Source organism: Homo sapiens, chromosome 17 (genome assembly GCF_000001405.40).
Source record: "Homo sapiens chromosome 17, GRCh38.p14 Primary Assembly".
Taxonomy (NCBI): domain Eukaryota; kingdom Metazoa; phylum Chordata; class Mammalia; order Primates; family Hominidae; genus Homo; species Homo sapiens.
The window spans coordinates 67,922,376-67,943,234 of NC_000017.11; the positions used below are offsets into that span (position 1 = coordinate 67,922,376).

The 20,859-nt window shown below is 40.7% G+C and overlaps 1 protein-coding gene across 51 annotated transcripts in view; it reads left to right on the forward strand.

Annotated features, from left to right (window-relative positions):
* Nucleotides 1–20,859, forward strand: part of BPTF (bromodomain PHD finger transcription factor) — a 158,876-nt gene that overhangs the window by 96,873 nt on the left and 41,144 nt on the right. For 30 of the 51 annotated variants that reach the window (XM_005257153.4, XM_047435597.1, NM_001439140.1 and 27 more), the window contains 6 exons: nt 465–615; nt 2,172–2,214; nt 5,980–6,226; nt 6,961–7,112; nt 9,536–9,644; nt 18,064–18,281. In XM_005257153.4, the coding sequence (XP_005257210.1) occupies nt 465–615; nt 2,172–2,214; nt 5,980–6,226; nt 6,961–7,112; nt 9,536–9,644; nt 18,064–18,281 (920 nt within the window). Of the gene's footprint in view, nt 1–464; nt 616–2,171; nt 2,215–5,979; nt 6,227–6,583; nt 6,746–6,960; nt 7,113–9,535; nt 9,645–18,063; nt 18,282–20,859 lie in introns of all 51 variants that reach the window. The other 21 variants (XM_005257150.4, XM_005257154.4, XM_005257159.3 and 18 more) reach the window with 1 other exon arrangement.

The following is a 20,859-nucleotide window of genomic DNA, read 5'->3' on the forward strand; positions in this document are numbered from 1 at the left end:
AATCCCCCTTCTCTGTGCGGTGATAGGGAAACACATGTTGTACACCCAAGTGTGAGAAGAACATGCTAGGCTTTTGTAGGAAGTTGAATTCATGTTGGGGTCCAGAGGATGAATTGACATTAGTCAGATGAGCGGTGGAGGCTTGGAATAGTGCTCCAGGTGGAAGAAACAGGTTGTATAAAGGCTCATAAGCCTTGTATTTTGGGGGTCAGCAAACCACAGCCCATGAGCCTTGGCCTACCCTGCTTTTATAAATGAAATTTGATTGGAACACAGCCACATTTACTCACTTACGTATTGTCTTTGGCTGCTTTCATGATACAAAGGCACAGCTGAGTAGCTGCAGCAGAGACCATCTGGCTATTTAAGAAGTTTGCCAACCACTTTTTCATGATAGAAGATGCCAGAAGTACTTTAATTTTAGAAGCAATATTGCTTAAAATATTCTGATTTCCTTTCCAAAGAAACGCCTACACCTCAGAGGAAAGGCCTTCGATCAAGTGCACTGCGGCCAAAGAGACCAGAAACGCCCAAGCAAACTGGCCCTGTTATTATTGAAACCTGGGTAGCAGAAGAAGAACTGGAATTGTGGGAGATCAGGGCATTTGCTGAGAGGTAAGGAAATGGTTAATACCTGGTCAGCTATTTGAAGATTTTATCACTTCAGAATCAATAAATTACTTTTTTTTTTTTTTTTTGAGACAGGATCTTGCTCTGTCACCCAGGCTGGAGTGCAGTGGCACAATCTTGGCTCACTGCAACCTCTGCCTCCCAGGCTCGAGTGATCCTCCCACCTCAGCCTCCCCGGTACCTAGGACTACAGGTGCATGCCACCACGCCCAGCTAATGTTTGTATTTTTTGTACAGAGATGGGGTTTTGCTATGTTGTTCAGGCTGATCTTGAACTCCTGGGCTCAAGCAATCCACCCAACTTGGCCTCCCAAAGTGCTGGGATTACAGGCATGAGCTACCCTGCCTGGGGTAAAAGAACACTTTAATCATTTATTCAGTGCAGTAAAGTCCTAGCTTGACTTTACTCCACCTTTGATTTTAAGTGCTAGCTGTAAATAGTTTAGTAAGGTCCTCTCTCTCTGTCTTTTTTTTTTTTTTTTTTTTTTTTTTTTTGAAGCAGAGTCTCGCTCTGTCAGCTAGGCTGGAGTGCAGTGGCATGATCTCGGCTCACTGCAACCTCTGCCTCCTGGGCTCAAGCAATTCTGCCTCAGCCTCCTGAGTAGCTGGGATTACGGGGGTGTGCCACCATGCCCGGCTGATTTTTGTATTTTTAGTAGAGACGGGGTTTCACCATGTTGGCCAGGCTGGTCTCGAACTCCTGACCTTGGGTAATCCACCTGCCTCAGCCTCCCAAAGTGCTGGGATTACAAGTGTGAGCCACCGCGCCCGGCCCTCTCTCTTATTTTTAATGTGTTGTCCATTTGTCGATTTCTAATGACCATAAATGTTTTATCTTTATTTTTTATTTTATTTTATTTTTGAGACAGTTTCACTCTGTCCCCCAGGCTGGAGTGCAGTGGCGCGATCTTGGCTTACTGCAACCTCCCAGATTCAAGCAATTCTCCTGCCTCAGCCTGCCAAGTAGCTGGGATTACAGGCATGTGCCACCACGCCTGGCTGTTTTTTTTTAAGACGGAGTCTCGCTCTGTCATCCAGGCTGGAGTGCAGTGGCACAATCTCGGCTCACTGCAAACTCCACCTCCCAGGTTCAAGCAGTTCTCCTGCCTCAGGCAGGTGGCCACCACCATGCCTGGCTAATTTTTTTGTATTTTTAGTAGAGATGGGTCGAACTCCTGATCTCAAGCAATCCACCTGCCTCGGCCTCCCAAAATGATGGGATTACAGGCATGAGCCACCGCACCCGGCCTGAGCCACTGTGCCCAGCTCCGACTAACTTTTGTATTTTTAGTAGAGACAGGGTTTCACCATGTTGGCCAGGCTGGTCTTGAACTCTTGACCTCAAGTGATCTGCCTGCCTTGGCCTCCCACAGTGCTGGGATTACAGGCATGAGCCACCTCGCACAACCAAATGTTTTATTTTTAAATTGAGATAATATCATACCTTTGTATGATGTGAAAATCAACCAGATTTCACTCTTATTAGATGCCAGATGCCTAACAGGCTAGTTTCTGATAAGTTTCTCCTTTTTTTCCTGCAGAGTGGAGAAAGAAAAGGCACAAGCAGTTGAGCAACAGGCTAAGGTTAGTGAACAGAAGAAGGCAGAGGACATCAAGGCCCAAATGGAGGCTCTTTCAAAACAAAAGCACTTGACCTCCCATCAGCAGGGGGAGTTGGTGCTGGTCCCACTTGACAACATACATACATTTTTTAGCCAAATTCATGCACACCCATGCACAGTAATGATACATTCTTGTGGGTTTTGGTGTTTATTTTTTTGAGACAGTGTCTTACTATCACCCAGGCTGGAGTAGATCACAGCTCACCGAGCCTCGACATCCCTGGTTCAAGCGGTCCTCAGCCTCCCTAGTAGTTGAGACTACAGGCACACACCACCATGCCCAGCTAATATTTGTATTTTTTGTAGTGATAGGGCTTCGCCGTGTTCCCCAGGCTGGTCTTAAACTCCTGGACTCAAGCGATCCACCTGCCTCAGCCTCCCAAAGTGCTGGGATTTTGGGTGTGAGCCATTGCACCCATCCAGGTTTTTTTTTTTTTTTTTTTTTTAAGTGTATCTCACGTCTATCTTATTGTCATTATTTGAAAACAGCTCTGTGGGTACACCAAGCTGTGGTTTTGTAAAAAGTATACATATTTGGAGGACATCTGAAATAAGATTTCTATTATTTATTATCTTTAGAGTTTCATAAGTAATTTCTGAAAATAATTTTTTCTTGTGAATTTCCAATCTGGAAAATTTCTGTAGTCTATGAAAAAGCAAAGTATGCTAAAACTCCATAAGAGTTTGTTGTAATTGATTATTATAAAGCTACTGATGGTTTCTTAGTGTTTTCATACTATAAATAATGTGCCATGGCCAGGCACAGTGGCTCATGCCTGTAGTCCCAGCATTTTGGAAGTCCAAGGCAGGAGGATCCCTTGAGTCCAGGGGTTTGAGACCAGCCTGGGCAACATAGGGAGACCCTGTCTCTAATAAAAGAAAAAAGCAAAATTTTAAAAATAAAAATACAATGTGCCATATGTGCCTAAACATTGAGGACCTGAATAAAAGATGATTACCACTTATTCCTATTGAGAAAATACTGTAAGAGTTTTTACCAACTTCAGTATATAAACATTGAGGATACAAGTGAGTAGATATATCTATATACAGTATTATTAACATAGTTATACATAACTATTTAAAAATCATATATAAACCAAATTATTTGTTTCAAACTAGTTTTCCCTTTCATTTTATAAAACATTTTTTCAAATTCTTGTGTATCTTTCAGTTTACTATAGGTCCTTATCTTCACTTACATCAAAGTTTGAGATGATAGCACTTTTGGATTCTATGTATGATGCTGTCTGTCACAGGAAACCAATCACTAAACCCAAATATCTATAACAACTGGCTAGTTGTATTGTTTTTTATTTTATTGGGTGTGTTTTCTCATCTCTGCAATGTAACCTAACATATTACTTTTTTTTTTTTTTTTTTTTTTTTTTTTTTGAGACAAGGTCTCACTCTCTTGCCCAGGCTGCTGGAGTGCAGTGGCACGATCATGGCTCACCACATTCTCAATCTCCTGGGCTCAAGCAATCTACCCACCTCAGCTTCCCAAGTAACTGGGACTACAGGCATGCACCACCGTGTCTGGCTGATTTTTGTGTTTTTTGTAGAGATAGGACTTTTGCCATATTGCCCAGGCTAGTCTTGAACTCCTGAGCTCAAGCGATCTGCCTACCAGGGCCTCCCAAAGTGCTGAGATAGCGAGCACCACTGCATTTGGCCCTAATATACTACTTTTTTTTTTTTTTTTTTTTTTTTTTGAGATGGAGTCTCACTCTGTCACCCAGGCTGGAGTGCAGTGGCGCGATCTCGGCTTACTGCAAGCTCCGCCTCCCGGGTTCACGCCATTCTCCTGCCTCAGCCTCCCGAGTAACTGTGACTATAGGCGCCCGCCACCACGCCTGGCTAATTTTTTGTATTTTTAGTAGAGACGGGGTTTCACTGTGTTAGCCAGGATGGTCTCGATCTCCTGACCTCGTGATCCGCCTGCCTTGGCCTCCCAAAGTGCTGGGATTACAGGCGTGAGCCACCGCACCCAGCCAGTATATTACTTTAAAAAATTTATTTAAGATGCTTATTTATGAATATAGCTAACACTTCAACTTTGAAGGCATATCCTCCTATAAATAAGTACTAATATATCTGTTCTATTTCTTTGCCTCCTTTTTTTTTAGAGATAGGGGCTTGCTCTGTTGCTGAGGCTGGAGTGTAGTGGTGAGATCATAGCTCATTGCAACTTTGAATTCCTGGCTTAAGGTGATCCTCCGGCCTCAGCCTCCTGAGTAGCTGGAGCTACAGAAACACTACCACACCCACCTTTGCCTCCCTCTTTTTTTTTTTCTTTCTTTTTTTAACTGATTTAATCAGATGATGTCTCTAAGAGTTGAAAACTAAGCTCTTTTTCTTCTGAGGAATGAGAAATTGTGTAAAGTACTTTATATTATATTCAGGTATATAGGATAGGTACAAAAGTAGTCCTAAAAAAATTGGACGTGATGTCATAGGTGAGCAGGAGGCTCACCTATGTCAAAGGCAGGAGATAGTGGTGCAGGATTGGAATTTGATTTTAGCAGACATCCCAACATCACCCTTAACTAGCTCTGTGGCCTTGGGCCAGTTACACAACCTCTCTAGTCTCCGTTTCCTCATCTTATAAGATAATGAAGGTAAAGCATCTGCCACCAGGTTTGAAATAAATTTCACCTGTTGTTTTACATGTGTGTGGTTATATTGTTACTTATCACACCACTGTTGATAAGCTGTTAGAAAAGTTTAGCAATCTATAATAAAAGATATACAGAATATCTTTAATACCTGTAGTTTTAAAGATTGTATTATACTACTCTGTATAGTATAAAGTATTTTTCTGTAAAAATATTTGAATGTATAATAGAAGAAGTCTAGAAAAACTTTTATAATTTTCAGCTTGCTTGATTGCAGGTTTGCCAACTTTAATAATAGTGTCATTAACTATTGACATGTTTTTATAGTTGGATAAATTAATATTACAGTGAAACAGAAACCTTTCACAGCTCCATTTGTTCTCAGCTCTGAATCTCACCGCTGAGCAGCATGGTGTTTCTGTCTCCAATAAGCTTACCCACATCTCTGTTGTTTTCAGTCTGAAACCTTGGATGTTTGTACAAGCCAGAAAAACTTGTTATAAAATTTTCTGCTATGAACAGCTTAGTACTTTTAATGTAATATATGTGGTATAGAGACATGAAAATACTGCCTTCATAGATAGGTACCTTGGAGGAATTAAAAATATATATATGGCCTTCATCAAGAAATTAAATTCAGGTAATTTTTTTTTTTTTAGAGATGGAGTCACTCTGTCACCCAGGCTGGAGTGCAGTGGCATGATCTCAGCTTACTGCAACCTCTGCCGCCTGGGTTCAAGCAATTCTTCTGCCTCAGCCTCCCGAGTAGTTAGAATTACAGGCATGAGCCAGAATGCTCAGCTCATTTTTGTATTTTTAGTAGAGGTGGGGTTTCACCATATTGGCCAGGCTGGTCTCGAACTCCTGACCTCAGGTGATCCACCCACCTCAGCCTCCCAGAGTGCTAGGATTACAGGTGTGAGCCACCGCAGCCAGCCATAAATACGGGTAAATTTATATGGACATATATTCTTTTTGGAAGTAAAATACTTCAGAAATGTAGTGGAATTTCTTAAGGTGAGAGAAATTGTGGACAGACTTCTTGTAGAATGGTATTGTTTTTATTTAGAACTATTTTGATTCATGTTTCCTCTCCTTCACTTTTTTAGAAACGACTGGAGCAGCAGAAGCCGACAGTGATTGCAACTTCCACTACTTCCCCAACAAGCAGTACAACCAGCACCATCTCTCCAGCACAGAAGGTTATGGTGGCCCCCATAAGTGGCTCAGTTACAACTGGAACCAAAATGGTACTAACTACTAAAGTTGGATCTCCAGCTACAGTAACATTCCAACAAAACAAGAACTTTCATCAAACCTTTGCTACATGGGTTAAGCAAGGCCAGTCAAATTCAGGTATGGAACTATCATTAAGTAAAAGATTACTTTGGTTCAGGAAAAAGAATTTTCAACCCTTTAGCTACTGAAATGAAACATTTTTTTAGAAGATTGTTTTTCTTTTGCAGCCAGTTGAGCAAACAAGCTGTAACGGTTGGTTTGTTACAAATAATGTTCATAATATTACATTAGCAAACTCCTCTCTTACATTATTTCACTTTCAACATTTACATAGTTCACTTTGAGTGGAGAGGAATGTTTTTATTAAAAATACAAAATGAGCCACATTTCATGCATTGGTGCCCTTTCCTAGAAGTCACTACGTTGCTGGTTATTTTAAATCTAAAGCTTATTAAATGTCTTATACCCCATTAGCCACCAGCACAGCTGCCACATCTGCTACAACCATTGCCAGCACAGGTCAGACGTTCCAAATTACAGGCAATCCAGTCACTATGGCAGGAAAAGTAATTACCAAACTGCCACTTCCTGCAAACAGCAAGATTGTCGCTGTAAATGTGCCAGCAACACAAGGAGGTAAGGGAAATGTGAAGTTTTAATTCACATTTGCCAGATCATACTGTTGCCATTATTTTTCATCTCCTTTTCACTGATTTCAGTCCTCGGATCTCACATTCTATGTAGCCCACTATAAAACCCTGCCACACGTAGTTTCTCCTCAGCAACCGAGCACCACGTAATGCTTTCCAATAAAGTGATAGTTTTTAATTATGGCTTCATCTTTTTTTAAGGCGTTGTTCAAGTACAGCAGAAAGTCCTGGGTATCATTCCATCAAGTACAGGTACCAGTCAGCAAACCTTTACTTCATTCCAGCCCAGGACAGCAACAGTCACAATTAGGCCCAATACCTCAGGCTCTGGAGGAACCACAAGCAATTCACAAGTAAGAATTCTTACAGACTTATTTGGTTTGATGTGTTGAGCACATCACATTATTTTTAGAATGACTTCTTCCAAGATTAATCCAACTCAGTTTCCTTTGCCTATTACTGAATCTGTGACAGAGTACTGATTTGGAAAAAAATCTGTTATATTTCTGATAAGTGAAAATGATACATGAAGTATTAATGTCTAACAGTTAATGACACATTAGTATGGTTTATGAAGAATAATAATTGCTTTCTAGGATTTTATAAAGAAAATTTCTTTATGTAAAACAGTGGACAGCACTAGACCACCCACGGAAGTGTGCTGTGCAGGCTCGCTAAGAAATCAAATTTAAAATGCTGGGCCAGGTGCGGCGGCTCACGCCTGTAATCCGAACACTTTGGGAGGCCAAGGCGGGTGGATCACTTGAGCTCAGGAGTACAGGGCCAGCCTGGGCAACATGGCAAAACCCCATCTCTACAAAAAATACAGAAATTAGCCAGGCGTGGTGGTGCTTACCTGTAGTCCCAGCACCTCAGGAGGCTGAGGTGGGAGGATGGCTTGAGCCTGGGAGGGGAAGGTTGCAGTGAGCTGAGATTGTGCCACCACACTCTAGCCTGGGCAATAGAGCCAGACCTTGTCTCAAAAAAAAAAAAAAAAAAATTAAAAAGTAATCTACAGTACTGTTAACTAGTTTGTTATCAGCTGATATGTGCACATATTAGATACATCATTTCTTTTTTTGAGACAGAGTTTCAATCTTGTTCCCCAGGCTGGAATGCAATGGCATGATCTCTGCTCACTGCAAACTCCACCTCCTGGGTTCAAGCGATTCTCCTGCCTCAGCCTCTCAAGTAGCTGGGATTACAGGCACCCACCACCATGCCTGGCTAATTTTTGTATTTTTAGTAGAGATGGGGTTTTACCATGTTGGTCAGGCTGGTCTCAAACTCCTGACCTCAGGTGATCCACCTGTCTCGGCCTCCCAAAGTGCTGGGATTACAGGCCTGAGCCACTGCACCTGGCCCAGATATGTAATTTCTTTGTTACTAGTATGGAAAAGGCTTAAAGTTTTGTAGACTAGCATTGTGGAAAAAGGTTTAAAGTTTTAAATTTTTGAAAATGTTCTGAACCTAACTATAAAACTGAAAATAAAATACTTTCTAGTTTCCCTTTTAAAACTATGAAAGGACCAGGGGCAGTAGCTCAAGCCTGTAATGCCAGCACTTTGGGAGGCTGAGGCGAGAGGATCACTTGAGGCCAGGAGTTCGAGAACCACCTAAACAAAATGGCAAAACCCCATCTCTACTAAAAATACAAAAAATTAGCTGGGCATGGTGGCATGTGCCTGTAGTCCCAGCTATTCCCAGCTGCTTGGGAGGGTAAGGGACGAGAATTGCTCGAACCCACAAGGCAGAGGCCACAGTGAGCTGAGATGGTGCCACTGCACTGCAGTCTAAGTGACAGAGTGAGACTCTGTCTCAAAAAAAAAAAAAAGTTCAAAGATTAGCTGGGCCGGATGCGGTGGCTCACACCTGTAATCCCAGCACTTTGGGAAGCCAAGGGGGGCGGATCACAAGGTCAAGAGATCGAAACCATCCTGGTCAATATGGTGAAACCCTGTCTCTGCTAAAAATACAAAAATTAGCTGGGTGTGGTGGCACACGCCTGTGATCCCAGCTACTTGGGAGGCTGAGGCAGGAGAATTGCTTGAACCCGGGAGGCGGAGGTTGTAGTGAGCCAAGATTGTGCCACTGTACTCCAGCCTGGGCGAAAGAGCGAGATTCTGTCTCTAAATAAATAAATAAGCAAGACTGTCTCTAAATAAGTAAATGAATGAATGAATGAATGATTAGCCGGACATGGTGCCATTCACCCATAGTCCTAGCTTCTTGGGAGGCTGAGGCAGGAGGATTGCTTAAGCCCAGGAGTGAGCCAGGCTACGATGAGCTGTGATTGCATCACTGCATTCCATCTTGGGCAACAGAGTGAGACCCTGTCTTTAAAATAAATAAATAAATAAATAAATAATTTTTAAAAAACTATGAAAGAACATTTGGTTTCTGATCTTCCTGTTATATTCTGTGGGTTACAGGTATGGTCTGGAGCTTACAGAAAGTGCGACTCCACATTTTCCTGTGAGCACTAGTTACAGAGCAGAGCCTCGCTGGCACATGCTCCTTCCTTTTATTCCATAGGCTATTTTGGTATCAGTGGCAGGGAATTTTGTATGATAGCATTTGAATTAAGTTTTCTTTCCTCAAAATTCCGTCTTTATTCTGATGTTTAATACAATTTAAAATGTAATGTTCAAGAGCCCCTGTCATTCCTGTAAACATTTTTATTAATATAGAATGTTTAAAGATCTTGTGTTCTAAGTCCATTATACTTTAATCTTTTTAAAGCATTTTAATTCATTGTTCTTTGTGTCATTTATAGGTAATCACAGGGCCTCAGATTCGCCCTGGTATGACCGTGATTAGAACACCACTCCAACAGTCAACACTAGGAAAGGCAATTATTCGAACACCTGTGATGGTACAGCCAGGTATTTATCCATCCAGCATTATCATTTTACATCTCAACAGCCAGTCTAGGAAATACGTAATTCTCTGCATTTGGCACTACATACGAGAAATATAATTTTAATTAGTACTTCAAAGCATACTAAATTTCTAATCCATTGTGAGCTCTATTCATTGATATTATTTCATTTTGACATTGACAGTAAAATAGGTTGAAGTATGCTTATTAAAAATGTAACAGAAATCACTAATAAATAAAATATATAATTGAAGTAAAGAAAACAGTCCGTATAGCAAAAGACAGAAAATCAAGGAGATAGCAAAGAAACATATAAAACAAAATTACAAATGCAGTGCCAGATGTTCATTTATTACTCTTAATGAGAATACATTAAAACTACCATTTTAAAAGTTGAAGACTGGCCAGGCTAGGTGACTCTCCCCTGTAATCCCACTTTGGAAGGCCAAGACAGGAGTATCACTTGAGCCCAGGAGTTCAAGACCAGCCTGGCCAACATGGCAAAATGCCATCTCTACTAAAAATATTAAAAAATTAGCTGGGCGTGGTGCCTCATGCACCTGTAATCCCAGCTACTTGGGAGGCCGAGGTGGAAGAATCGCTTGAAACCAGGAGGCAGAGGTTGCAGTGAGCCAAGATCATGCCACTGCACTCCAGCTTGGGCAACAGAGTGAGACCCTGTCTCAAAAAAGAAAAAAAAGTTGAAAATGTTAAAGATTTTTTTTTAAACCCTATACATTTATGAGAAATTTAGCTAAAATCAAATTACTACAAAAGCTACAAAAGATAAAAAAACTAGAGATGGACACAGGCACATGAAATAAAGGCCATAAAAAGAAAGAAAAGACAAGGATGGCCCTACTGATACTGGGCAGAATAAAATTCAATGTTTAATAAAAAGGAAAAATTTATGAAAAAGAGTCATTTTTTATTGGCTTAAAGGTAAAAAAGATCAGCCAGGCGCAGTTGCTCATGCCTGTAATCCCAGCACTTTGGGAAGCCAAGGCAGGCCAGATCACCTGAGGTCAGGAGTTTGAGACCATCCTGGCCAACATGGGGAAACCCTATCTCTACTAAAAATACAAAAATTAGCTGGGTGTGGAGGTGGGCGCCTGTAATCCCAGCTACTCTACTCGGGAGGCTGAGGCAGGAGAGTCGCTTGAACCCAGGAGGCGGAGGTTGCAGTGAGCCGAGATTGTGCCACTGTACTCCAGCCTGGGCAAAAAGAGTGAGACTCCGTCTGAAGGAAAAAAAAAAAAAGGTAAAGATCATGGCCAGGCACAGTAGCTAAAGCCTGTAATCCCAAAACTTTGGGAGGCTGAGGCAAGAGGATCACTTGAAGCCAGGAGTTGGAGACCAGTCTGGGCAACATAGGGAGACCCCATCTCTACAAAAAATAAAAATTTAGCCAGGCATCCTGGAGCACGCCTGTAGTCCCAGCTACTTGGTAGGCTGAGATGGGAGGATTGCTTGAGCCCAGACATTGGAGGCTGCAGTGAAGTATGCTCATGCTACTGCACTCCAGCCTGGGAGACGGAGCACGACCTGTTTAAAAAAAAAGAAAAAAAGAAAAAAAAGATTGCAGTTAAGGTATAATCTTGAATCTTTATGAATTAAGTAACATGTCATATTAAAGTGTAAAAAGCAAAACTATTTGAAATCAAGGAGAAATTAATAGGAGCATAGTAAGCCACAATTAAACTATGTATCAACTTTTGTGCCTTCTGAAATACACATTCATTTAAAATATTTGTAGGCTTAACCCAGGCGCAGTGGCTCATGCCTGTAATCCCAGCACTCCAGGAGGCCGAGATGGGCAGATCACCTGAAGTCAGGAGTTTGAGACCAGCCTGGCCAACATGGTGAAACCCCATCTCTACTAAAAATATAAAAATTAGCCAGGCCTGGTGGTGGGCACCTTGGGAGGCTGAGGCAAGAGAATTGCTCGAACTCAGGAGGTGGAGGTTGCCGTGAGCTGAGACCCTGCCATTGCACTCCAACGTGGGCAACAAGAGTGAAACTCCATCTCAGAAAAAAGAAAAAAAAAATAATAATTCATAGGCTTTTTGGTGGAAAAGTAGTTCTTGAGTCATAGATAAAACCTTGATAAATTCCAAAAAATAAAATGTGTATAGGCCACATTCTTTATAGTAAAGCTAGAAATTAATATTAAAATACTATATTATGCTGTAACAAGATGTGTTAGGAAATAAAAGACATGACCGGGCGCTGTGGCTCACGCCTATAATCCTAGCACTTTGGGAGGCCAAGATGGGCAGATCACCTGAGGTCAGGAGTTCGAGACTAGCCTGGCCAACATGGTGAAACCCCTTCTCTACTAAAAATACAAAAATCAGCTGGGTGTGATGGCGAGCACTTGTAATCCCAGCTACTTGGGAGGCTGAGGCAGGAGAATCACTGCAACCTTGGGAGGTGGGGGTTGCAGTGAGCGGAGATTGCACCACTGCACTGCAGCCTGGGCAACAAGAGTGAAACTCTGTCTCAAAAAAAAAAAGAAAAGAAAAAGATATTAGATATTATACTAATAATCTTAACTTGCTTAGAAGTATGTGAGTACAGCTGGGTGTGGTGGCTCACTCCTGTAATCCCAGCACATTGGGAGGCCGGCGGGTGGATCACAAGGTCAAGAGATCAAAACCATCCTAACCAACATGGTGAAACCCCGCCTGTACTAAAAATATAAAAATTAGCTGGGTGTGGTGGTGCACACCTGTAGTCCCAGCCACTTGGGAGGCTGAGGCAGGAGAATTGCTTGAACCCAGGAGGCAGAGGTCATGGTGAGCCAAGATGGTGCCATCGCACTCCAGCCTGAGCAATGAGCGAAACTCTGTCTCAAAAAAAAAAAAAAAAAAAGCATGTAAGTACATTCTAAGTAACTTTTAAGTTAAAGATACATCAAATATGTAATTACAAAACAATTCTCAAATAGCAGCCTTAAGCCTTGAAGCTGCAGTTAAACTTTGAGGTGATTCAGTTTATTCAATACATATTTGAACACCTACTCTAGGCAGTTGAAATAAATCAGTGAATAAAACAAACCAAAAATACCTCTATTCTTAATCAAAAGTTAGAAACATATATAAAACAAGTTTCGAAAGAAAACAAGACCTGATGCGGTGGCTCACACCTGTAATCCCAGCACTTTGGGAGACTAAGGCAGTCAGATCACTTGAACCTATTAGTTCTAGACATCCTGGGCAATGTAGTGAGACCCCCATCTCTACAAAAAATTTCTAAAAAATTAGCCAGGCGTGGTGGCACATGCCTGTGGTTTCAGCCACTTGGGAGGCTGAGGCAGGAGGATCACATGGGCCCAAGAGGTCAAGGCTGCAGTGAGCCACAATCTTGCCACTGCACCTCCAGCCTGGGTGACAGAGTGAAACCCTGTCTCAAAAAAAGAAAAAAGGAAAGAAAATGAGGGAGGAAATGAAAGCACAAGTAATAATAATTACAAAACAGAAAAGACCAAAAAAATTAGACCATTATTTTGCAAGTCTAATCTAGGGAAAAGGGAGGAATATGCTTGTTCACAGAATTAGGAATGAAAAAGTACAATAAAAATAAAGTGAGCTTTTTTAACTCAAAAGGAACTGTAGATCACCTGAGGTCAGGAGTTCAAGACCCGCCTGCCCAACGTGGTGAAACCCTGTCTCTACTAAAAATGCAAAAATTAACTGGGAATGTTGACAGATGCCTATAATCCCAGCTACTTGAGGTCAAGGCAGGGAGAATTGCTTGAACCCTAGAGGCAGAGGTTTCAGTGAGCCAAGATTGCGCCACTGCACTCCAGACTGGGCGACAGAGTGAAACTCACAAAACTGAAAAAAAGAATTTTGTATAGGTATCCTTGTAGTAAGACTTTCAGAAGTCTTACTATACATACTTAGGACGTAAATCTATTTGAATAGCAAGACATAATTAAATATTGTGCTTATAAATTGAATGTCTCAATGACATATCAACAGAAGAAATTTGAAAAGTTGCCATAATGTTACCTATAGCAAGGAATTACAGACTTCATGGTTTTACAGGTATAGTTCTTGGAAATGGGTAGGAAATAATTTTCTTACTATAAAACATGGTTCCAGGGCATAAGGGGAAAGATAGATAAAATCTTTCCCATTTTACTAATTTAGCACCAATTCTAATATGAAATATAGCAGGGTTTTTTGTTGTTGTTGTTTTGTTTTAAGGCAATCGTCTTGCCTAAGTAGCATTTACCTGAGAAAAGAAAGGAAGATGGATTATTTCAGTTAATGCTGCAGGAACAATTGATAAGATTTAATATCTATTATGTGAGACAGGTAGCTACTAGGAAAGAGAACTAATATAAAGGAGAAAGTGCAATTTATAGGTGATAAATGTTTTCTATATACTTAGAAAACTGACAGTTGTGGTAAATTGCCAGAGAAACTGTAAATGCTGGTATTACTATGGATACACAGAGCCTTTGTTGCATAATGCCCTATGTAGCTGTAAGTATGTGTTTGTCTGACATGCATAAGTGAATGTGTAGTTTCCAAACCACTCTCTTCTCCAGGGTTTTGCCACTTTTCTTCCCTGGAGTCTTGAATCCCCTGTGAGGATAGGGTTTGTATGATGAACTACCCAACCCTGCCGCCTGGCTGTGCAGTGCTCATTTAATGTACTTAAATGAAAGTCTGCCTTAAACGAATTAATTCTTAGTAGTAATACTCTAAAATAGCAACTGTCATATATTCATCATTGACTCTGTGCCAGGGTGTATGTGTTTTGTACATAAGCATTCATTTAATCTTCATATAAAGCATATAAAATACTATCCCCATTTTACCGATGAGAAAATTGAAATTTAGAATGTTGAGTAATTTCCCAAGCTATTAATCTGGGATTCAAACCAGATTTATCTGATTTCCAAGTCCAGATATTCATTTATTCATTCAACAATTATTCAGTACTACCTATGTGCCAGATGCTGTTCCAGGCCCAAATGGCCATGGTTATAAACTAATCAGACAAAATAATGCCCTCATGAAACTTATAGTCTAGTGGAAAAGGTAGATAATAATGAAGTAAATTAATTATACATATATTTAAATATACTGTATAATAATGTATGAATTTTACACATATATCATGTTAAATAATGAAAAGTACTGGCCGGGCGCGATAGCTCACGCCTAATATACCAGCACTTTGGGAGGCTGAGGCGGGTGGATCGCCTGAGGTCAGGAGTTCAAGACCAGCCTGGCCAACATGGTGAAACCCCATCTCTACTAAAAATACAAAAAATTAGCTGGGCATCATGGTTGGTGCCTGTAATCCCAGCTACTCGGGAGGCTGAGGCAGGAGAATCGGACTTTGTCAAAAAAAAAAAAGAAAGAAAAGTACTTAGAAAAACTGAGGGGAGGAACGATAATGTTTAGAGTTGGGATTTGGGAATGATTTGCAGGGAGGGTTGAAATTTTAGGAAGGATGGCCTGAGAAGGACTCACTAACAAGATGAAATTTGGATAAAGACCTGAAGGAAATGAGAGAGCTGTGGAGCTGTGCAGATATCTGAGGAAAGAGTCTTTTATGAAAAAGAAACAGCAAATGCAAGGGCCCTGAGGCAGGAGTGGACCTGGTGACATTGAAGGGATGGGTAGCCAGTGGATCTCAGGGGGACCCAAGGAGGACAAGAAGTGGGAGTCAAAGGAGTTATGGTCAGAGAGGTGGAGGGTGGGTGGGTATGGGTTGTGTCTTCAGGTGTGCACAGATCACACTGGAACTTATCCCTCTTCCTACGCCACACTAGCTTTTCCTAAGATGAGATCCGGCCGGGTACAGTGGCTCATGCCTGTAATCCCAGCCCTTAGGGAGGCCAAGGCGGGCGGATCACCTGTGGTCAGGAGTTCAAGACCAGCCTGGCCAACATGGCAAAACCCCATCTCTATTAAAATACAAAAAATAGCCGGGCATGGTGGCGCAGCCTGTAATCCCAGCTATTTGGGAGGCTGAGGCAGGAGAATCGCTTGAACCCAGGAGGCAGAAGTTGCAGTGAGCTGAGACCGCCCCTCAGCCTGGGCAATAGAGCGAGACTTCACAGACCCTCGGAGTACAGTCAGAAATTATTACATTTTTGAATTTCCATTTTGATCTAAAAATAAATTGATATATACCTATTGGAGATCATCTGGGTGGCTTATAAAAATGAATCAGTACCAATCCTTTTATCTGTCTCTGCTTATGATGGCAATGTATCTGTACCAGGTGATCTCTGGAAGTGATAACTTTTCATGTATTGTTTCTCAAACTGCAATGCAAGGACATAGCACTGGGATATAGGAGTTCTCAAATTAAAGACCTTGGCCACACTATGTTATGCTGTCTTTCAGTTCATCTTGAGTAAATGAATGAGAGTAACCAAGAAAAATTTAGAAGAAAGAGTAATAATGGAAAACTTGTACTACCAGTTGTTAAAGCTATTATAAAGCCACCAAAATTAGCATGATACCAAAGGAAGCAACACAAATAGTTACAGAGGCATTATATGTGGGAATTGGCTGCATGACAGTGGTGTCATTTTGCATCAGTAAATGATACTGGAATAATTGGCTTATAGTTTGGGGGGAAAATAGACTTCCGTGTTACAACATATACCAGGACTAAGAACATTCTTGGGAGGATGTATCTGATGAGAGAATACAAGAGAACTTTACAAGCAATAATTAAAGCCAAAATTTTTAAAAAGACTAGTCTGGCCGCATTTTTTAAAATTGCAAGTTTAGAAATAAAAACGTAGATGGCAAAGTGGAAAAAATAGTTTCTAAAAATATGTATTAAATAAGTAGGAAAAGAAATGGGCAGTGTGTGGAGAGTGAATTCACAAATGAAGAACAATGACTTAAAACAGTTTTTAATGCCAACCTGTGGTAATTGAGGAAATTTAGCACTGTGATACATGATACTATTTGCAGTTGCCTGAATATTTTACTTTACTGGTGATATCAAGGTTTGGCAGGGTTCAGTGAAATAGGCACACAGAGCTGGCAGTAGTGTGAATTGGAATAACCTTTCAAAACTTCAACTTAGTACTATATTCCTACTATGAACCCAGTAATATTTTTTGGAGGGTTACTTTAAAGAAATAATCAGAAGCACCCAAAAATGGATAAGCAGGAATTTTACCATGGCGTTAGTTTAACAACAACAACAAAAAGGTGTGGGGGAAGTATTCTGAATGTCAAAATAAGTTTCATTTTACATATGTGCAGTAATATGAAGTATCATTCAGCCATTAAGAGAAACACAAAGATATATATGTGTATCCACAGATGGAAAAAAGGCAGCGAGTAAATATTAAAAGCTTGAGAAATTTGATGTTATTCAGTAGTTAGTAATGAGTCTGTAAGTGTCAAATTAGCTACCAAAAAATTATTCTTAGCAACTGTTCTACATGGGGGAAAATTCCACTTGCCTATTCTAGTTTCAGCAAGTTAAACTAAAAAGAGGTTTATGGAAAACTGTAGAGCCATTCCAGTTCAACTTCATTCATTCAATAGACATTTATTGAACAATTACTATGAAAGCATTATTTGGGCCAGGTGAGGTTGCTCATGCCTGTAATCCCAGCACTTTGGGAGGCCAAGGCGGGTGGATCACGAGGTCAGGAGATCAAGACCATCCTGACTAACATGGTGAAACCCCATCTCTATTAAAACAAATACAAAAAATTAGTCGGGTGTGGTGGGACATGCCTGTAGTCCCAGCTACTCGGGAGGCTCAGGCAGGAGAATCGCTTGAACCCAGGAGGCAGAGGTTGCAGTGAGCCAAGATCACGCCACCGCACTCCAGCCTGGGCGACAGAGCGAGACTCCGTCTCAAAAAAAAGAAAAGCATTATTTGAGCACTCTGCCCTAGTATTGAGGATATAGTGGTCCTTGCCTTCATGGCTCTCCCAAGCTATCTGTCAAATAGCTGTAAGAGAAGCTTATTATAAATGCAGTTGGCCCAGAATATTCCAGATTCTTTATATTTTGTTTAAAATTCATATGAATTAATTTTTTATTAAATTAGCACTTATTTTTAATATTATATTCCTAAGAAAAGGCAGCCTTATAAATGGCATATTTTACACATTCTTTTTTGTCTTCCCTATTATCATTTTGGTTTTAGATTTATAGGAAGAATTTTAATTGGTTTTTTCCATTATCCTACAGACAGCAGAGACTGGATAACGGTTGGCAGTGAAAACAGACTCACTGCCAACCAGGCAGGACCTTTGGATGTGGGTATATGTCTGAATGTATCCTTAGGCTCTGAATATCCCAGTGTTTTTTTGAAGATGGAAAAGAATACGTTCATGTGAGGTGTTGAATTATTTCAATTCAAAATAATGCCAAGGGTGTATAAGCATTCATAATGTTTTGCTGTTTGGGTAGGTGCTCCTCAGCAAGTGATGACTCAAATCATCAGGGGGCAGCCTGTCTCCACTGCAGTCTCCGCCCCTAACACGGTTTCCTCAACACCTGGGCAGAAAAGCTTAACTTCAGCAACGTCCACTTCAAATATACAGTCTTCAGCCTCACAACCCCCTCGCCCCCAACAAGGACAAGTGAAGCTCACCATGGCTCAACTTACTCAGTTAACACAGGGCCACGTAAGTAACATAAGCTTTATTTTAACTTTAGAGGTGATCTTATTTATTCTTGCGGTAAGTTTAAAAACATGAACTTATTTTGATACGTTTTTAAATGTGCTGATTTGAAGAAATGGTTGCTTCCTGGAGTCAAGCAGAAATACCTCTTAGACAGGATATAATAAACCCCAACTACTAGAGTAATCTTTAGACAGTGAGCTAAAACAGTGAGACAGATAACCCTTTTAAACACCAAAATTTTATTAGTTGGCTAATCTCCATGAGACAAATAAAATTTGAGTACATTAAGCTGCTTCCTTGCAAGACTCGATATTGTTAGCAAGTCTTCTAATATTGATTAATAAATTGAATGCAGCTCCCATCAAAATCCCAAGAGGTTTTGTTTTTAGTGAAACTTCACAAGCTGATACTGAAAGTTTATATGGAGGTACAAAGTATTAAGAATATCTGTACCTTTGAAGAACAGGATTATTTGCCCTATATATGATAACTTGATATCAAAACTTAGTATAGGCTGGGCATGGTGGCTTGCGCCTGTAATCCCAGCACTTTGGGAGGCCAGGGCGGGTGGATTGCTTGAGGTCAGGAGTCTGAGACCAGCCTGACCAACATGGTGAAATTCCATCTCTGCTAAAAGTACAAACAAATTAGCTGGGCGTGGTGGCATGCGCTTGTAATCACAGCTACTCAGGAGGCTGAGGAAGGAGAATTGCTTGAACCTGGGAGGCGGAGGTTGTAGTGAGCTGAGATTGCACCACTGCATTCCAGCCTGGGTGACAAAGCAAGACTTCATCTAAAAAAAACCAAAAAACTTAGTATATAATACTTCACTAATTAATATAGTGAGGTACAGACATAAGGAGAGGCAGATAGACCAACAGAACAGTAGAGAGTGCAGAACATGAACCCCATGTATGTGGACACTTGTTATATGACAAAGGTGACATTGCAGATCATTGAGGAAGAGATGACTTTTCAGTAAATGGTGCCAGGACAATTGAATATACATGGGAAACTGTGAAATTGGACCATTATTACCTCACTCTACATAAACTCAATTCCAGGAGGATGAAAGTCCTAACTGTGAAAGGTAAAACTATAATACCTTTAGAAGATAGAAGAATATCTTCATAGCTTTCCTAAACAGATAGAAAATGCTAACCATAAATGAAAAGATTTATAAATTCAACTACTTTAAAAATAAGAGTAAGAACCTCTGTTCATCAAACTCACTACAGAGAGAGTGAAGAAAATGAGAAAAGAACCAACCAAGGACTATTACATATCCAGAATATATAAAGAATTACTACAAATCAAGAAAGAAAAAAATCCAGATAGATCAATAGGAAAAAAGACAAACAGGCAAGGTGCGGTGGCTCACACCTGTAATCCCAGCACTTTGGGGGGCCAAGGTTTTGGGAGGCCAAGCCAGGTGGATCACTTGAGGTCAGGAGTTTCAGACCAGCCTGGCCAACATGGGGAAACCCCGTTTCTACTAAAAATACAAAAATTAGTCAGGCGTGGTGGTGTACGCCTGTAATCCCAGCTGCTTGGGAGGCTGAGGCAGGAGAATTGCTTGAACCCAAGAAGCAGAGGTTGCAGCGAGCCAAGATATACCACTGCACTCCAACCTAGGCAACAGACTCCGTCTCAAAAAAAAGAAAAACAAAAAAAAAAGGACAAACCAACATTATGAGGAAAGAAGAAATCTAAATGTCCCAAATTCCAAAAAACTGCTGAACTTTATTAATAATGAGAGAAGTACATATTAAAACCATATGCTTAAGAGATTGGTACAAATTTAAATGTCCAACAAAACCAAGAGTTAGCAAAGACATAGAGCAGAAAGAATTCTCATGCACAGCTGGTGGGCCTATCAGTCGGTTCAGCCATTTTGGAAACTTCCTGGACATGGTCTGGTAAAGTCAAAGCTGTGTATGCCCAAGGTCCCAGTATACCTTCTAGGTATATCCCTAGAGAAGTTGTTGGCCATGTGAGCACCAGAATACATGGCATAAATATTGGTAGCAGCATTGTTCATAAGAATCAAAAACTAAGAACAACTCAGGTGTCTATCAAAATCAGTTAGCTAAGTAAATTGTAGTATATTCCTACAGCAATAAAAATGAATAGACTTCAGCCACACAGAACTATGCAGATGATTCTCACAAATATATAATGGTAAGCTAAAGAAGCAAGTAGCTGCCAAAAAAAATACATGTTATAATTTCATTTGTATAAGATTCAGAAATAGGCAAAACTAAGCTATTTTGTGTAGGGATACAGGGCTGCTGCATTGCCTGCCTGGAGGGGGCACTATTCCCATTGTATTCTTTGTGAATATTGCTCCTGAGTTTGTGAACCTCAGTGGCCTTATATATACCTAAGATACATACCGAAGTAGTAATGAAATACAGTGTTATCATCAAAGTGAGGATAGTGCTTACCTCTAGGGGAGAGGGAGGGAATTGAAATCCGGGTGAGTCATATGGGGACTTCTAGGACACTGGCAATGGTGACCACAGTGGCGGTTTTATAGATGTTTACTTTATAATTTTTAAATTATACTTGGTGTTTT